At 39.4% G+C, this 18,227-nt stretch overlaps 1 long non-coding RNA gene and 1 pseudogene across 2 annotated transcripts in view; one reads left to right on the top strand and one right to left on the bottom strand.

The window, feature by feature from the left end:
- LINC00345 (long intergenic non-protein coding RNA 345) overlaps positions 1-18,227 on the top strand; it is a 118,126-nt gene that overhangs the window by 53,919 nt on the left and 45,980 nt on the right. The gene's annotated exons all lie outside the window — the stretch shown is intronic.
- Positions 1-18,227, bottom strand: part of TPTE2P3 (TPTE2 pseudogene 3) — a 98,103-nt pseudogene that overhangs the window by 40,407 nt on the left and 39,469 nt on the right. Inside the window, exons 12-15 of the transcript NR_002793.2 lie at positions 17,305-17,424; positions 14,989-15,088; positions 14,779-14,842; positions 13,968-14,032 (exon numbers count right to left, since the gene is read on the bottom strand). The product of NR_002793.2 is annotated as a TPTE2 pseudogene 3 (transcript). The remainder of the gene's footprint in view (positions 1-13,967; positions 14,033-14,778; positions 14,843-14,988; positions 15,089-17,304; positions 17,425-18,227) is intronic.

The following is an 18,227-nucleotide window of genomic DNA, read 5'->3' as shown; positions in this document are numbered from 1 at the left end:
GACTATGCCTAGGATAATAAATTAATAATTCATTAACAACAACTTAAATATTACTCCCTCATCTTATAGATAAATGGGCCAAGGACATAAACAATCCATAAAAGAGAAAATCAAACTGATTAACAACCTACATAATATTCAGTGTCGCCAATAAAGAAGTCAAAACAACAGTGACATGACATTTGCGCCCATGAAATTAGCCCTTTTCCTTTTAATGAGAAAATCCAATGCTGGCAAAATAAGGCATGACATTAAAAACTTTGATTTATTTTGATACAGTAATACAATTGCTCTTGGATTTGGCAATATATATTAAGAACCCTAAAAATATTCATTCTCTTCAACTAGGTAATTTCACTCCTAACAATCTGTACAGAAAAAGCCTTACACCCAAAGATATTTGTTGTTGTATTATTGATAATAGTGACACTTACATGTCCAACATTAGAGGTTCATCATAGCACTAATGAAATATCATGCAACCATTAGAATACTGTCCTGTTCTTCATTCTCTCAACCAGTAAATATCTCACTGCAGTAATTTATGTGCAGGCTTCTCTAGCGTACATATATAGGAAAACAGTTGGCCGGGCGTGGTGGCTCATGTCTGTAATCCCAGCACTTTGGGAGGCTGAGGCAGGTGGATCACGAGGTCAGGAGTTCAAGACCAGCCTGGCCAAGATGGTGAAACCCCGTCTCTACTAAAAATACAAAAATTAGCCAGGCATGGTGGTGGGTGCCTGTAATCCCAGCTACTTGGGAGGCTGAGGCGGGAGTATCGCTTGAAGCCCGGAGGTGGAGGTTGCAGTGAGCCGAGATTGCATCACCGCACTCTAGCCTGGGTGACACAGCAAGACTCCAACTCAAAAAAAAAAAAAAAGAAAAGAAAAGAAAAACAGGCAATATTTGCTTTTTCCTGGGAAGACAAATATACCTGGAGGGTTAAACTTTAGGGATTCTCTGAATCCCCTTCCTAGTTCTCTCAATGTCTAAAAAATTATATATATATATATGTGTGTGTGTGTGTGTGTGTGTGTGTGTGTGTACTTTTTATAATTATATATGTTTATATATACTTTTTATAATTATATGTGTATATATACTTTTTATAATTATATAGAGAGAGAGAGAGACTCAATATATTGATGATTTACTGCTGTGTTTCCTGATCTAAGTAGTTTACTAAAGGATCCAAATACCTCTTATTCAAAGTAGGTGAAAAGGGACATAAAGAATCTAGAGAAAAGGTGAACTCTGCCAAGAATCTACATTTTTCTGGTCACAAGCTGTCACCAGATAGACAGTTTCTGTTTTCAACCAGAATAAAGAGCATTCAATTCTACCAAGAACAGAAATCAAAAGATGGCTAAGAAGATTTTAGGACTGTAGGTAATTGTATATCTGATTTTTCTCATAGCTCAGCCTTTGCATGGGCTTACTAAGTTTATACTTTCTGATGCAACTTCCTTGTGATGCAAAAGTAGAAAATGCTACTCTGTGAAAGCCTTCTTTTCTTTTTTTTCTTATTTTCCGTATTTCTTTTTTTTTTTTTTTATTATACTTTAAGTTTTAGGGTACATGTGCACATTGTGCAGGTTAGTTACATATGTATACATGTGCCATGCTGGTGCGCTACACCCACTAACTCGTCATCTAGCATTAGGTATATCTCCCAGTGCTATCCCTCCCCCCTCCCCCCACCCCACCACAGTCCCCAGAGTGTGATATTCCCCTTCCTGTGAAAGCCTTCTTGCAACAACCTCCACCTTCGGTTTTCCTAAATCTGCTCAACTCTTCTCTCTGCCTATCTTAGTACATTCCTTGATTTGGAAGCAAAGGTACACCCTCTGTACCTGCATGAGGTGGTAGCAGTGGCCAAACTTCTTGATGCTTCCACCACAGTGCTTGTTTGTCCACTAACTCTATGGGTCCAACATCTCTAAAGTTTTTGCTACTTCAAGGCAGCATCTGACATTTCTCCACTAGTAAATTTACCACTTAGGAAATTGTAAGGTCTGCTTTGCATATTCAGTGTTGTTCAAAATGTAACCCTGCAAATTTATTCTCTTATAAGAATAAAGAGGAATCACATGACTGTTTAGCATCCTCTCAGAAGTTAAGTATACCCGGATTTGAATCATGTACCTTTGAGTCAACCTTGATTTAATATACATCGTGGATGGTTCTCAAAAATGACAAAGGCACTCCAAGTGCAGAATATGCTGTTGTCATTGAACATGCAATGACTGAAGTGCTCCATGGCCTAATTCTCGGCCTGTCCAGGTAGCTGAACTAGTAGCTTAGATTTGGGGCTGCGCTCTGGCAAAGATGAAAGACTAAATATTAATATGGACAGTAGATTTACTTTTTGGGTGGCTCATGATTTGTGGCATTTATTAAAACACATGATTTATCACCTCCTTTTTGGATACTCTGATTAAAAATGGTAAAGAAATCAGTGACTTATTAGTACTTTTGTCAATGCCCTAAGGAGATAACAGTTTAATAACGGATAGAAATCAATAGTCTAGCCATCACCCCACAAGGAAATAGTAATGTCTTTATATGCTAAGTGAGGTTTTTGGCTGTCAAAAACACCCCAGCTAATATTAAGTCTTCCCAAACTGATATTAGGCACCACCAAAACTACTAAAAGAAAATTGGCTCAGTTTAGACATGCCATAATTAACTCACAGTTATTAGCTCAACCAGCTTTAAAAAACAATATTAGCAATCAAGAGATGCTTTACCCATAAAGATGGAATTGGGAATTTGGGGATCGCTGCCCTCAAGTGGTATGACCCATCCAATGGACCCTGGTCACATTGCTCCATGACTGTTCCCATTATGGGAGAAGAAAAGTAATTCCACCTCAAATAAATAGTTTGAAACAATTTTCAAAATTGGCCAAGGGTGTGGTCGAATCATGTCTTAGCTGGGAGTAGCATAACCTGGGTGAGATGTGGGTCAGATCCTTCTCTTCAAGGTCTTTGGGTATTTACAAATGCATTTTTATACAACTGCTGAAGCCTTGAGTTTCTGACTATATATTAGTTATTTCTTGTAAACTATCTGCATGTATAAAAATGCTTCCCTGCCTGAGAATAAGGTAGAAAGATTCCATCAGTGGTCCCAATTCTTCATCTTTTCCTGAATCCCGGCCCTCACATTTCACCTTGTAGTGCCCTTTCACTCTAAATTTGGGCTCTATTATGTGAGTTGATTTGGTCAATGGGATGTCACAAAGGAGAGCCTTGCAAAAGCACTTGTAAGATTCCACTCTAGCTCTTTCCTTTTGCCATTACCCTGAAACATATCCATCATATTCATCCTGATGGAGGATGAAGATGAGTTTAGCAGATAGGAGTTATCCAAGACACCAAAGCTAAGGTAAATGTAGACCAACAGATAAAGACATTTCAAGGAAAGAAAATTTCATATCACTCATGCACATAGATGAAAAGTTCTAAATAAAATATTAGCAAACAGAATCTAGTGATATATAAAACGATAATACATTAAGACCAAAGGGATTTTATTCCAAAAATAAAAAAGGTCGGCTTAACATTTGAAAATCTCATTAATGGAAAAACACAAAAACATTTTGATTACCTTGATAGATGCAGAAAAAATATCCAATCTACTCAACAGCAATTCATGATTGAAAACTTTTAGCAAACTAGAAATAAAATGGATTGTCTGAATCTGGTAAAGAATGACTACAGAAGCCTATAGCAAACATCATTTCAAATAGTGAAGTATAAAATTCCTTCCACCTGAGTTTGGGAATAAGGCAAGGCTGTCTCCTCTTACCATTTCTATTCAGTATTACAGTGAAAGTCCTAGATAATTCAATAAGGAAAGAAAAAAGTATAAAAACTGGGAATAAAGTAGTAACTTTATGATTGTATACATAAAATCCCAGGGAATCTACACATTAATTATTAAAATGAATGTGTGAATTTATGAAGGAGGCTAGATATAAAGTTAATATACAAGGCCAAGTGTGGTGGCTCACACCTGTAATACCAGCACTTTGGGAGGCTCAGGTGGGAAGACTGCTTGAACCCAGGAGTTTGAGACCAGCCTGGGCCAGTGAGACCAGTGAGACTCCCTGTCTACAAAAATTAATTTTAAAAAAATTAGCCAAGTGTGGTGGTGCCTGCTTGTAGTCCCAGCTACACGGGAGACAGAGGTGGGTGAATTGCATGAGCCCAGGTGCCACTGCACTCCAGCCTGCGGTGACAGAGCAAGGCCCTGTCTAAAACAAACAAACAAATACAAAAACATTCCATGCTCATGGATAGGAAGAATCAATATTGTGAAAATGGCCATACTGCCCAAAGTAATTCATAGATTCAATGCTATTCCCATCAAGCTACCATTGACTTTTGTCACAGAACTAAAAAAAACTACTTTAAATTTCATACGGAACCAAAAAGAGCTCGTATAGCCAAGACAATCCTAAACAAAAAGAACAAAGCTGGAGGCATCACACTACCTGACTTCAAACTATACTACAAGGCTACAGTAACCAAAACAGCGTGGTACTAGTGCCAAAACAGATATATAGACCAATGGAACAGAACAGAGACCTCAGAAATAACACTACACATCTACAACCATCTGATCTTCGACAAACCTGACAAAAACAAGCAATGGGGAAAGGATTCCCTATTTAATCAATGGTGCTGGGGAAACTGGCTAGCCATATGCAGAAAACAGAAACTGGACCGCTTCCTTACACCTTATACAAAAACTAACTCAAGATGGATTAAAGATGTAAACATAAAACCTAAAACTATAAAAACCCTAGAAGAAAATGTAGGCAATACCACGAAGGACATAGGCATGGGCAAAGACTTCATGGCTAAAACACCAAAAGCAATTGCAACGACAGCCAAAATTGACAAATGGGATCTAATTCAACTAAAGAGCTGCTCAGCAAAAGAAACTATCATCAGAGTGAACAGGCAACCTACAGAATGGGAGAAAATTTTTGCAATCTACCCATCTGACAAAGGGCTAATATCCAAAATCTACAAATAACTGAAACAAATTACAAGAAGAAAACAACCCCATCAAAAAGTGGGTGAAGGACATGAACAGACACTTCTCAAAAGAAGACATTTATGCAGCCAACAAACATACAAAAAAAAGCTCATCATTACTGGTCATTAGAGAAATGCAAATCAAAACCACAGTGAGATACCATCTCATGTCAGTTAGAATGGCGATTATTAAAAAGTCTGGAAACAACAGATGCTGGAGAGGATGTGGAGAAATAGCAACACTTTTACACGCTGGCAGGAGTGTAAATTAGTTTAACCATTGTGGAAGACAGTGTGGCGATTCCTCAAGGATCTAGAACCAGAAATACCATTTGACCCAGCCATCCCATTACTGGGTATATACCCAAAGGATTATAAATCATTCTACTATTAAGACACATGCACACATATGTTCATTGCAGCACTATTTACAATAGCAAAGACTCGGAACCAACCCAAATGCCCATCAATGATAGACTGGATAAAGAAAATGTGGCACATATATACACCATGGAATACTGTGCAGCCATAAAAAGGAATGAGTTCATGCCCTTTGCAGGGACATGGATGAAGCTGAAACCATCATCCTCAGCAAACTAACACAGGAACAGAAAACCAAATACCGCATGTTCTCACTCATAAGTGGGAGCTGAATAATGAGAATGGACACAGGGAGGGGAAAGAGGCCTGTCGGGGTTGGGGGAAAGGGGAAAGAGAGCATTAGGACAAATACCTAATGCATGCACAACTTAAAACCTAGATGATGGGCTGACAGCTGCTGCAAACCACCATGGCACACGTATACCTATGTAACAAACCTGCACGTTCAGCACATGTTTCCCAGAACTTAAAATTTAAAAACAAAACTAAAGTCAATATACAAAAATTAATTATGTTCCTATATACCAATAGCAAATAATCAGAAAATGAAGATATTCAAATATTACTTAAAACAGCATAAAAACTTATCGAATGCCTAGAAATAAAACTAACAAAAGATGTGTAGGGTGGGCGCGGTGGCTCACGCCTGTAATCCCAGCACTTTGGGAGGCTGAGGCGGGCGGATCATGAGGTCAGGAGATCGAGACCATCCTGGCTAACACATGAAACCCCGTCTCTACTAAAAATACAAAAAAATTAGCTGGGCGTGGTGGCAGGCGCCTGTAGTCCCAGCTACTCTGGAGGTTGAGGCAAGAGAATGGCGCAAACTCAGGAGGCAGAGCTTGCAGTGAGCGGAGATTGCGCCACTGCACTAAAGCCTGGGCGACAGAACAAGACTCCGTCTCAAAAAAAAAAAAATGTGTAAAACCTGTACACTGCAAACATTGCAAAAAGAAGTCAAAGAAGACATAAGTAGAGAGATATATTATGTTCTTGAGTTGGAAATCTCAATATTTTTACATGTCAGTTCTCCCTAAATTAAGCAATGTAGTGAATGCCCAAGTCAAAATACTAGCAGGTTGTGTGTGTGTGTGTGTGTGTGTGTGTGTGTGTGTAAATTGCCAAGAAGATTCTAAAATGTATATGGAAATTCAAAAAATCTAGAAGAGCCAAGATAGTTTTTAAACAAAGAAGTACAAAGTTGGGGGACTTATAAACAAGTTTTCAAAACTCACTATAAAGCCATAATATTTAAAACTGTGGTCTGGACTTAAGTATAGACAAGTCATTAAGTCATAATAAAAGGAGAAAAAGCTGAGAAACAAACCTATACATATATGTTCACTTGATTTGCAATAAACACACCTCTACAATTCATTGGGGAAGTTATGCTCTTCACAGTAAGTGGTACAGGAAGCATTGATAGCTATATGAAAAACATTAATCTTGATATTTTATATCTTTACAACAATTAATCGGAGATCAGTCATACACCAATACATTGACAGAGGTGTTGGTTACATGCATATATACTTATGTGTAATATCATCAAGATACACACTTGATTAGTGCAACTTACCATCTATGTTATACCTCAATAAAATGTGATTATTTATTTTAGGTTCAGGGGTACATGTGCAGGATATGCAGGTTTGTTACATAGGTAAACCTGTGCCATGGTGGTTTGCTACACAGACATCTCATCCCTATGTATTAAGCCCAGCATCCATTAGCTATTCTTCCTGAGGCTCTCCCTCTCCCAACCCCTCCTTCCTGACAGGCCCCAGTGTGCATTGTTCCCCACCATGTGTCCATGTGTTCTCATTATTCAGCTCCCATTTATGAGTGAGAACATGCAGTGTTTGGTTTTCAGCTCCTGTGTTAGTTTGCTGAGGATAACAGCTTCCAGTTCCATCCATGTCTCTGCAAAGGATGTTATCTTCTTCATTTTTATGGCTGCACAGTATTCCATGGTGTTTATGTACCACGTTTTCTTTATCTGATCTATCATTGATGGGCATTTAAGTTGATTGCATGTCTTTGCTATTGTGAATACTGCTGCAGTGAACATGCACGTGCATGTATCTTTGTAAGACAGTGATTTATATTCCTTTGGGTCTATACTTGGTAATGGGATTGCTGGGTCAAATGCTATTTCTGCCTCTACGTCTTTGAGGAATTGCCACACCGTCTTCTACATGGTTGAACTAATTTACACACCCACTAACCGTGTAAAAAGCATTCCTTTTTCTCTGCAACCTTGCCAGCATGTTATTTTTGGACTTTTTAATAATAGCCATTCTGACTGGCGTGAGGTGGTATCTCATTGTGGTTTTGTTTGCATTTCTTTAGTGGTCGGTGATGTTGAGCTTTTTTTTTTCGTATTTTTGTTGACTGCATGTATGTCTTCTTTTGAGAAGTGTCTGTTCATGTCCTTTGCCCACTTTTTAACAGGGTTGTGTGTTTTTTTCTTGTAAATTTCATTAAGTTCCTCGTAGAATCTGAATATCAGACCTTTGTCGGGCGGATAGATTGTACAAATTTTCTCCCATTCTGTAGCTCTTTAGTTTAATTACATCCCATTTGTCAATTTTTGCATTTGTTGCAATTGCTTTTAGCATTTCGATCATGAAATCTTTGCCCATGCCTATTTTCTGAATGGTATGGCCTAGATTTTCTTCTAGAGTTTTTATACTTTGGGGATTTACATTTAAGTTTTTAATCCATCTAGAGTTAATTTTTGGATATGGTGTAAGGAAGAAGTCCAGTTTCAATTTTCTATATATGGCTAGCCAGCACTCCAGCACCATTTATTAAATAGGGAGTCCTTTTCCCATTGCTTGTTTTTGTCAAGTTTGTTAAAGATCAAATGGTTGTTGGTGTGAGGTCTTATTTCTGAGTTTTCTATTCTGTTCCATTGGTCTATACATCTGTTCTTGTACTAGTGCCATGCTGTTTTGGTTACTGTAGCCCTGTAGTATAGTATAGTTTGAAGTCGGGTAGCGGGATGACTCCTGCTTTGTTCTTTTTGCTTGGGATTGTCTTGAGTATTTGGGCTCTTTTATTGTTCTATATGAATTTTAAGATAGTTTTTTTTTAATTCTGTGAAGAATTTCAATAGCAGTTTAATGGGAATAGCATTGCATCCATAAATTGCTTTGGGCAATATGGCCATTTTCATGATATTGACTCTTCCCATCCATGAGCACGGGATGTTTTTCCATTTTTTGTGTGTGTCTTCTCTGATTTCTTTGAGCAGTTGTTGTTTTCTCTGTGTTTGTTTTTCCTTTAACAGGCCACTCTACCATAGTGCTTCTGCAATTTGCTGGTGGTCCATTCAAGACCCCAGTCGCCTGACTTTCTCCCGTCTACCTGGAGGTATTACCAGTGAAGGCTGTGAAATAGCAAAGATGGCAGCCAGCTCCTTCCTTTGGAAGCTCCATCCCAGGGGGATACTGACCTGTAGCAAGTCTACATACACCTGTAGGAAGTGGCTGGAGACCCCCATGGGGGAGTTCTTACCCAGTCAGGAGACATGGGATCAGGGACCCATCCAAAGAAGCAGTCTCGCTGCTTTTTGGTAGACCAGGTGTGCTGCGTTGCAGGGAACACTTCCTCCTCCTGACCACCTGTATTTTCCATAGCTGGCAGGCAGGAGTGGCTGAGTCTACAAACTGCAGTGATGCTGGCTGCCCCTCTCCACCTCCCGGGGAACTCAGACCCATCTGAGGTGGAATCCAACCTGTTGCTCTTGGTTGGCTAGGATTCCAAGCCAATGGGTCTTAACTTGTGAGGTACCGTGGAAATGGAGCCCACAGAGTGACACTGCTTGGCTCCCTGGATTCAGCCCCTTTCCAAAATATGTATGGACAGATTTCCCACCTTGCTGAGGATCTCGGGGCCAGAGTACGTAAAACGTCTGGGTTTCTGTGTGTGCCTGAGCAGCTGATCTGCTGAGACTCCACAGCTCTGTGTATCAGACACAAGGCCCTGGTGGCATGGGCTTACAAGGGGATCCCCTGATCCATGGGTTGCAAAGATCAATAGGAGAAGCACTGTTTCCTGAGCAGGATTGGACAATCACTCACTGCTTCCCTTGGCTGGGAGTGGGGGTTCCTTTGGCTCCACGCTGCTCTCAGCTGGGCCATCACACCCTCTCTCCACTTTTCTTCATTCTCCATGGGGCGAGCTGTTCTTCCAGTCAGTCCCAATGGGAGAACCTGGGTATCTCAGTTGAAGGTGCTGAATTCACCTGCCCCTTTTCATTCCTCTCCTTGAGTGCTGGGGAGTGCAGCTGCTTTTAATCGGCCATTCTGCATCACTCTAAACATTTCTTTTTTAGCCATAGTTCTTAATTCCCATAGCCCTTGGTTTATCATTAGTTTCTTAATTAAATAACCTGTCCACATTCTCCAGCCATGGGATGATGATTCAGGCTGGGGATCCAGGCCATTTTCTGAAAAGCTGCTGAAATTGAGGCCCTGTCCTGTTTGAACCTGAGCTAACACGCTGCAGAGAGGTACTCCTTCCACCTCTCAGCAACCGATGCCAGCCCTTAATAATTATAGTTTTATTGAGGTATAGTAAGTATTGTAAATTACATAAAATTAAACAATGACTTTCAGTTGGCATTTCACAGTAAACAGCATTATATGTTTGAAATTAGTTTAGTCATCCATGGAGCCTAAAGCAGTATGCTGCCACTATAATTGAGGATCTCGGCCAGGCACGGTGACTCAAGCCTGTAATCCTAGCACTTTGGGAGGCCAAGGCGGGTGGTTCACAAGGTCAGGAGATCGAGACCATCCTGGCTAACACGGTGAAACCCCATCTCTATTAAAAAAAAAAAATTAGCCAGGCGTGGTGGCGGGCGCCTGTAGTCCCAGCTACTCGGGAGGCTGAGGCAGGAGAATGGAGTGAACCCAGGAAGCAGAGCTTGCAGTGAGCCAAGATTGTGCCACTGCACTCCAGCCTGGGCAACAGAGTGAGACTCCATCTCAAAAAAAAAAAAAACAAAAAAACAGCAGCCATGATTCTTTACAATTCCTTCCACCAGGAGTTGGAGTCTATTTTCTATTCTGTATCTGGATTCAGATTCAGAATCGTAGTATAATTTGCATTGTCCAATAAAATCGGGTAGAAGTAATATTATACTAATTTTGAGCCTGGGCCTTAAAAGGATTTACATTGTTTTGCTTGCTGCTCCTGGTACTCTTGCCACTGCCATCATGTGAACAGGCCTGAAGTAGCCTACTAGAGAATGAGAGACCACATGGGACCATTCAGCCAAGCCATGTTATTTTCTTTTCTTTGATTTAAAAAAAAACTGTTTTTTTATTCTTTAAAACAATTTGAACTGACACATAATAGTTGTTCATATTTATAAGGTAGAGGGTGATATCTCAATACCTGTGTACAATGTGCAATGATCAAATCAGGATAATCAGCATGTCCATCACCTCAAATATTTATCATTCTTTGTGGTGGGAACACTCAAGAGCCTTTCTTTTTAAAAATATACAATAAATTGTTAACTGTAGTCACCCTCCAGTGCTATAGAATACTAAAACTTATTCCTCTCTGTAAGCTGAAATCTGACATTTCTTTGTTGATTTTCTGACTAGATGATCTGTCCAGTGCTACGAGTAGGGTGTTACGGGGTGTTAAAGACCCCAACTGTTACTAGACTGGAGGCTGTCTTTCCCTTTAGATCTAATATTTGCCTTGTTTATCTGAGTGCTCTAGTGTTGGGTACATATATGTCTGCAATTATTATATCCTATTGCTAAGTTGATCCTTTCATCATTATAAAATATCTGTCTTTGTCTCCTCATGCAGTTTGACTTAAAGTCTGTTTTATCTGATATAAGTATGGCTACTCCTGCCCACTTTTGGTTTCTGTTTGCCTGGAGTATCTTTTTCTATCCCTTCACTTGCAGTCTGCGTGTACCTTTACAAGTGAAGTTAGTTTCTTATAGGCAGTATGTAGTTGGGTTTTTTGTTTGTTTGTTTATCTTGGCAACCAACTCTGTATCTTTTAATTGGGAATTTGATCTGTTTACATTCAAGGTTACTATTAATAGATGAGGATTTATCCTGTCATTTTATTCTTTTTTTTTTTTTTTTGGTTGTTTTGTATATCCTTTGTTCTTTTCTTCCTTTGTTTTTTTTTTTTTCTAATCTTTATGGTTTGGTGGATTTCTGTAGAGATAAAGTTTGATTTCTCTCTCTTTCTTATGTATCTGCTCTACCAGTGAGTTTTATAGTTTGATGTTTTTCATGATGGTAGCCATCCTCTTGCTTTCATTTGTAGAATCCCCCTTAAGCATTCCTTGTAAGGCCAGTCTACTGGTGATGAATTCCCTCAGGTTTTGCTTGTCTGGGAAATATTTTATTTCTCCCTCATTTCTAGAGGATAGCTCTGCTGGGTATAGCATTCTTAGTTTATAGTTTTTTTGTATTTTTTTCCTTTCAGTACTTTGACTGTAACATCCCATTGTCTACTGACCTGTAAAGTTTCCACTGGAAAATCCACTGTTAACCTAAAGGAGTTTCCCTTACATGTGATTTGATGCTTTTTTTCTTGCTGTTTTTAATATTTCCTTTTTTTTTTTTTCAGACACTCCCACTCTGTTACCCAGGTTGAAGTGCAATGGTGTGCCCTCAGCTCACTGCAACCTCCACCTCCTGGGTTTAAGCATATCTCGTGATTCAGCCTCCCAAGTAGCTAGAACTACAGGTGCACGCCACCACACCTAGCTAAGTTTTTTTTGTATTATTAGTAGAGATGGGGTTTCTTCATGTTGGCCAGGCTGGTCTTGAACTCCTGGCCTTGTGATCCACCCACCTCAGCCTCCCAAAGTCCTGGGATTACAGGTGTGAGCCACCGCACCTGACCAATATTCCCTCTTTTTGACATTTGAAAGTGTGACTATCATGCACCTCAGAGAAGACCATCTTGAGTTGATTCTATATGAGAACCTTTGAGCTTCTGAGATTTCACCCATATGTCTCCCATGTCTGTTTTTAAAGCTCTTGATTACATATATATATATATATATATATATATATATAGTTTTTTTTTGAGACAGGGTCCCTCCCTGTCAACCAGGTTGGAGTGCAGTGGCATGATCTCAGCTCACTGCAACCTCCACCTCCTGGGTTCAAGCTATTCTCGTGCCTCAGCCTCCCAAGTAGCTGGGATTGCAGGCATGCACCACCACACCTGACTAAATTTTGTGTTTTTTTAGATATGGGATTTTGCCATGTTAATCACTCTTGTCTTGAACTCCTGGCCTCAAGTGATCCACCTGCCTTGGCCTCCCAAAGTGCTGGGATAACAGGAGTGACCTACTGCATCTGGTCTCTTGATTATTTTTTATTTTATTCCTTAAATTCTTCAGCTCCAAGATCTCTGTTTGGTTTTTAATGACATCTATATCTTTGTTGAATTTCTCATAAGATGATAAATTGTTTTTCTAATTTCATTGATTTGTCTATCTGTATTCTCTTGTATCTCACAGAGTTTCCTCAAGATCCTTATTTCAAATTCCTTCTTAGCCATTTGATATACTCTTAAAATTTAGGGTCTGTTAATGGGGGATTATTGTGTTTCTTTGGGGATGTAATGTTTCCTTGCTTTTTATGTTTCTTGTGGCCCTGAATTGATTTTTGCACATCTGGTGGAACAGGTGCCTCTTCCAATGTTATGGAGCTTTCATAGAGAAATATTTTTTCCAATAGTTGTCTCCTAGTGTTCATTATGGAGTAGGGCGATTTGACTTTGGTTCTAGGTGGGTGCGGTAATACAGTCTTCATGTGACTTCTTTGGCTGTAATCAGCATTTAGAGGTGTCTCTGAGTGCCTCAGTGGCCTAGATGGTGAGTGTTTGTGGAGACAGTGGTATGGCTTTTCTTGGGGTGGGAGCCATCAGTCGGATTCGTTCCAAGGCCCTAGAGGTATGCATGCTAGGTGCAGTGGCTTTGCTAGTGGTGGGGTGGCGCCACCAGCAGGGTGGGCACCAGGCAGGCCAGTCCTCAGGGTCTTAGAAGTGCATGCAGCATATGGCAGCTCTGCTGGTCAAGGGGGTGGAGCTGTTGGCAGCAGTGGATGCCAGATGGGATGGGCCTTGAGGGGTGCATGGAGCACGCAGTGGCTCTGTCAGCTGAGGACAGCCAAGTCATTTTAGACTAGCCAGTCCTCAGATGACTCAGTAGCTGCCCACAGATGCATGAATGAACTCAGTTGAGAGAAGCAATCCTCTCTGTGAGCACAGAATTGAACAGTTAAGCCCATCTCAAATTCACAAACCATAGTATCATGAGCCAAATAAATAGTTGCTGTTATAAGCCAGTAAGTTTGGGGGTGGTTTGTAACCACTGGTACAATTATAACTGGTATCAATCCATTATGATTGTTTTACTTGAAAGAGTACCTTTTGGAAAGAACATTGACATTTCTGGGTCAATATTAAACTTATGACTACACAGTCTACATTCACTGAGAAATTAGTATTTTTAAGATAAACACCCTTACCTTAATTGGATTCCGATAGAAAGACTGGCCTCCCGAAGATGGAAATGACATAGCGACAATACGTTCTGGAAGTCAAAATCATCACTATTACAAACATTATTATAGATTTAAAATAACATACAAAAGTTAATTTTATATGATCAGACTCCATTTTCACAGAAAAATACCTTTTAAGATTAAGGTTGACAGAAAAGAGCTAATACTCAGGGTAATCAAGATAACATATTAAATTATCCAACATAATGACCATTAAGCTGGCATGGTGTTCTTAACACTCCACTGGTTCAAACCATATGCCATGTACTTATGTTGGCCTCAGTCTGAAGTTCCCCCTGTTCTTGGAATTTATTTCTTATCTTAAATACCAAAGAAAATCCAAGAGTTCTGGGCACCAGTGATGGTGGGAACTCCCAACGTGCTTTATAGCCCTCTGACTCAGAACACCTGAGATCTACAAAGCTGTGACCTCATTCTCTGGGGTTCTAGGAAGAGAAGCGGTCTCTCTGGGATCCTTGGGATTCAGGATAACTACTAGAACTTAATAAACTGAAACTCAAATGGAGTCAGCTGAAAATCCATTCAAGTTTTTGTGCTGCAACCGAGTAGTCCTGAATTGAGATGACATGGAAATCTTCCTTGCCAGGGCTAAACCACAAATATGTCACACTATCACAATGGCATAGCATATAGCCTCACGAATAAAGAATACTTTGAATGAATGTGGCTTAGATGAGGCAAAAACAAAATAAAAATATAATTACAAGAAAAAGTGAAGTTAATGTAAGTAAATCAACAGTTAAGTGTCACAAACCTGTAATATAAGTGAGGTCTAGGTCAAATCCATCCCTTTCGTATCACCTTTTGTTTCCTGAAACCTGAGAGTTTAAAACCATTATTAGTTGGTGAAACATAAATCAACATAAAAATAAAGAACATTATACAGTATAGATATCAACCCTTGCCAATGGGTCCCAAAACACAAAATATTTTTCTGAATCGTAAGCATGTTTTGCCCACTTACCAGCCTTCTTATCAGCTTTCCAAGTTGTCTTTTTAGATGAGCCAGACGAAAAACTCTTATCAGAATGATAAGTCGTAGAAGTCGAAATAAACGTGTCCATCTAAAAATAAACTTAAAAGATCAATTTTTGCTTCAGAAACAGACAATTTTATGAATATAAATTAAGTTTAGAGCAGCAGTTGTTAACCAGGGACAATTTTCCCTCCTCTCCTCAATCACCTACATGGGGGATATTTGGCAGTGTCTTGAGGCATTTTTGGTTTTCACAACTGGTGTGCCTGTGTGTGCGCGCATGCATGCGCTACTTCCATCTAATGGATAGAAGCCAGGAATTCTGCTAAACATCCTGCAATGAATATAACTGCTCACCACCCTCCTATGACAATAATGATCTGGCCCAAAATGTTAGTAATGCTGAGGTTGAAAAATTCTGGTCTAGAGAAATAGTGAAACAATAGAGTCTTAGAATTTGTAAATTTAATTTTGGGATTTGAGACTAGCATTTTCAATTTTTCCACATCAAAACAAATTGAGGATTCTTGTTCACCTCTGTTACTCCCATCTGTAACAGAGGTTCACTACAGCTGCAAATGCACATTAGGCAGGCAACAGATTGAGATACTTCCCAAGTGTGCTAGCTGGTATCTCTCCTACCGTCAGAAACATCAAAGCAGATAACTGATGGTCTGGACTAAAGAAGAGTCATCTGGAAAAGCGTGTTAAGCTACAGATTGTTGGATCCCAGAGATATTGATTCAGTGGGTCCAGGGTGGGGCCTAAGGTATTTTTCTTGTATTTCTAGCAAGCTCTCAAGTGATGCTGAGGTTTCTAGTCAGAGGACCACATTGGCTGAGGTGATTTTCAAACAACTCCAAAAGCCTATCACTTAACATGCTTAGTTGGTGCCTGAGTTGTAGTCCAGGGAAGCTAGGGTACAGAAAGAAACCCGGTATTTGACCCATGAACAAGCTTAGGAAGCCACAAACATCTCCATCCCAGTATACGTTTGCTCTTCCATTTTCCTCATTGTCACAGTAGAAAAGAAGAACAAAAAGAGAGTCACCAGGTCCTCATACACCCTTTAGTTTCCTAATCCCTAACAGTTCTAACTTTGCCTTAGCTTTCTTTGTTTCTGCCACAACTATACTGCAAAACTCTACTGTTGTGTTGCTATACGTGTCATCTCCTAGTTTTCTGTTCTGTTTTCTATTTCTTAGAACATCATGATTGAGGCTGGGCATGGTGGCTCATGCTTGTAATACCAGTACTTTGGGAGGCCGAGGTGGGCAGATCACTTGAGGTCAGGAGTTAGAGACCAGCCTGACCAACATGGTGAAACTCGTCTCTACTAAAAATACAAAAATTAGCCAGGTATGGGGGTGCATGCCTGTAATCCCAGCTACTCGGGGGGCCGAGGCAGGAGAATCGCTTTAACCGGTGGGGCAGAAGTTGCAGTGAGCCCGAGATCATGCCACTGAACTCCAGCCTGGGCAACACAGTGAGACTCCATCTCAAAAGAAAAAAAAAAAAAAGGAAAAGAAAATCGTGATTCATGGACACAGGAAGGGGAATATCACACTCTGGGGACTGTGGTGGGGTGGGGGAAGGGGGGAGGGATAGCACTGGGAGATATACCTAATGCTAGATGACGAGTTAGTGGGTGCAGCGCACCAGCATGGCGCATGTATACATATGTAACTAACCTGCACAATGTGCACATGTACGCTAAAACTTAAAGTATAATAAAAAAAAATTTAAAAAAAAAGACCAAACTAGAAAAAAAAAAAAAGAAAGAAAATCGTGATTAAAGTCACTCAAATTTTGCATATGCTCAAATAAATTCCCTCTTGGCTGTGGGAAAAACCCAGACAGAACATTATGTGTAAGGGATCTGTAGTTGAAGCACAGAGGGGAATTGTTTTTAATATCAAATTTTTTTATGTATCACATATGAAACTAATAAGAATGTCACACTTGATCTTAGCCAAAAGGCCAAAAATGATACAAATGGGAATTTGACGAGAACTTCAAAATGTAGTGAAGTTAAAGTTAGTACAAGTAAAGTCCTTCTTTGGCTACTCCATCTTTTTTATTCAATGAATGGTACTTGGTGTGTATACTCTTCACTGGTCCCTAAATATCACAATCTTTTAGTTTCAACCTATGTGGGAATTTACCTAAACATTTCATTTTAAAGCAACATATTTGGTATAAAATGAGCCATTTGAAGTTGAAAAGATTATACAGAATAAAAGCCACAGAAAATGCAAAAAGTAAATGAAAAATTTTAAGAGAAGTGAGTCTTATATTTCATACCTGGGAATATCCTTAAGAAACTTAACGTCAAAAAAAATGTAAACGACATCAACCAGCAGAATAATCACAGTAACGGCAGTATCTAAAATGTTAAGTAAATCAGAAAAATAATGCTGTCTCCTGTAATATAAAACAGAAAAATATGAGTTCATCTCCCTGCAAGAAGAGATAGAAATATTTAAAGACCACAACTATTGACTGATCCCCATTAAGAATTCTACTTTCATACATTATTTAAAATGCATTTTCTAGAGTAGACTAAGGGAAAAATATGACATTCATGGGAAGTTTTCAAACAATAAATTTATATTCATCATTTGACACATATATATGACTAAAACACCAATATGGCAATTTAAGTATAGCAAGACATATAATTAAATGCATATTAACCACCCTTATCATAGATGATGAGGTATCTATCCCCTCAAGCATTTATCATTGTGTTACAAACAATCCAATTACACTTTCAGTCATTTTAAAATGTACAATTGTTATTGACTATAGTCACCCTGTTGTGCTAGCAAATAGTAGGTGTTATTCATTTTTTTCTATTTTTTTGTACCTATTAACCATCCCCACCTCCCCACCCCCAACCTCCTACTACCATTCCCAGCCTCTGATGACCATCCTTCTACTCATGTCTATGAGTTCAACTGTTAACCCTTTTAGAGCCCACAAATAAGTGAGAACATGTGGTGTTTGTCTTTCCGTGCCTGGCTTATTTCAGTTAACATAGTGATCTCCAGTTCCATCCATGTTGTTGCAAAAGGCAGGATCTCATTCATTTTTATAGCTAAATAATACTCTCTTGTGTATATGTACTATATTTTCTTTATCCATTCATCTGTTGATGAACACAGGTTGCTTCCAAACCTTGGCTCTCATGAACAGTGCTGCAACAAACATGGGAATGCAGGTAT

The sequence above is a fragment of the Homo sapiens genome, chromosome 13 (genome assembly GCF_000001405.40).
Source record: "Homo sapiens chromosome 13, GRCh38.p14 Primary Assembly".
NCBI lineage: Eukaryota > Metazoa > Chordata > Mammalia > Primates > Hominidae > Homo > Homo sapiens.
The sequence above is the reverse complement of the archived record's forward strand: the minus strand, read 5'-3'. Positions and strand labels throughout refer to the sequence as shown.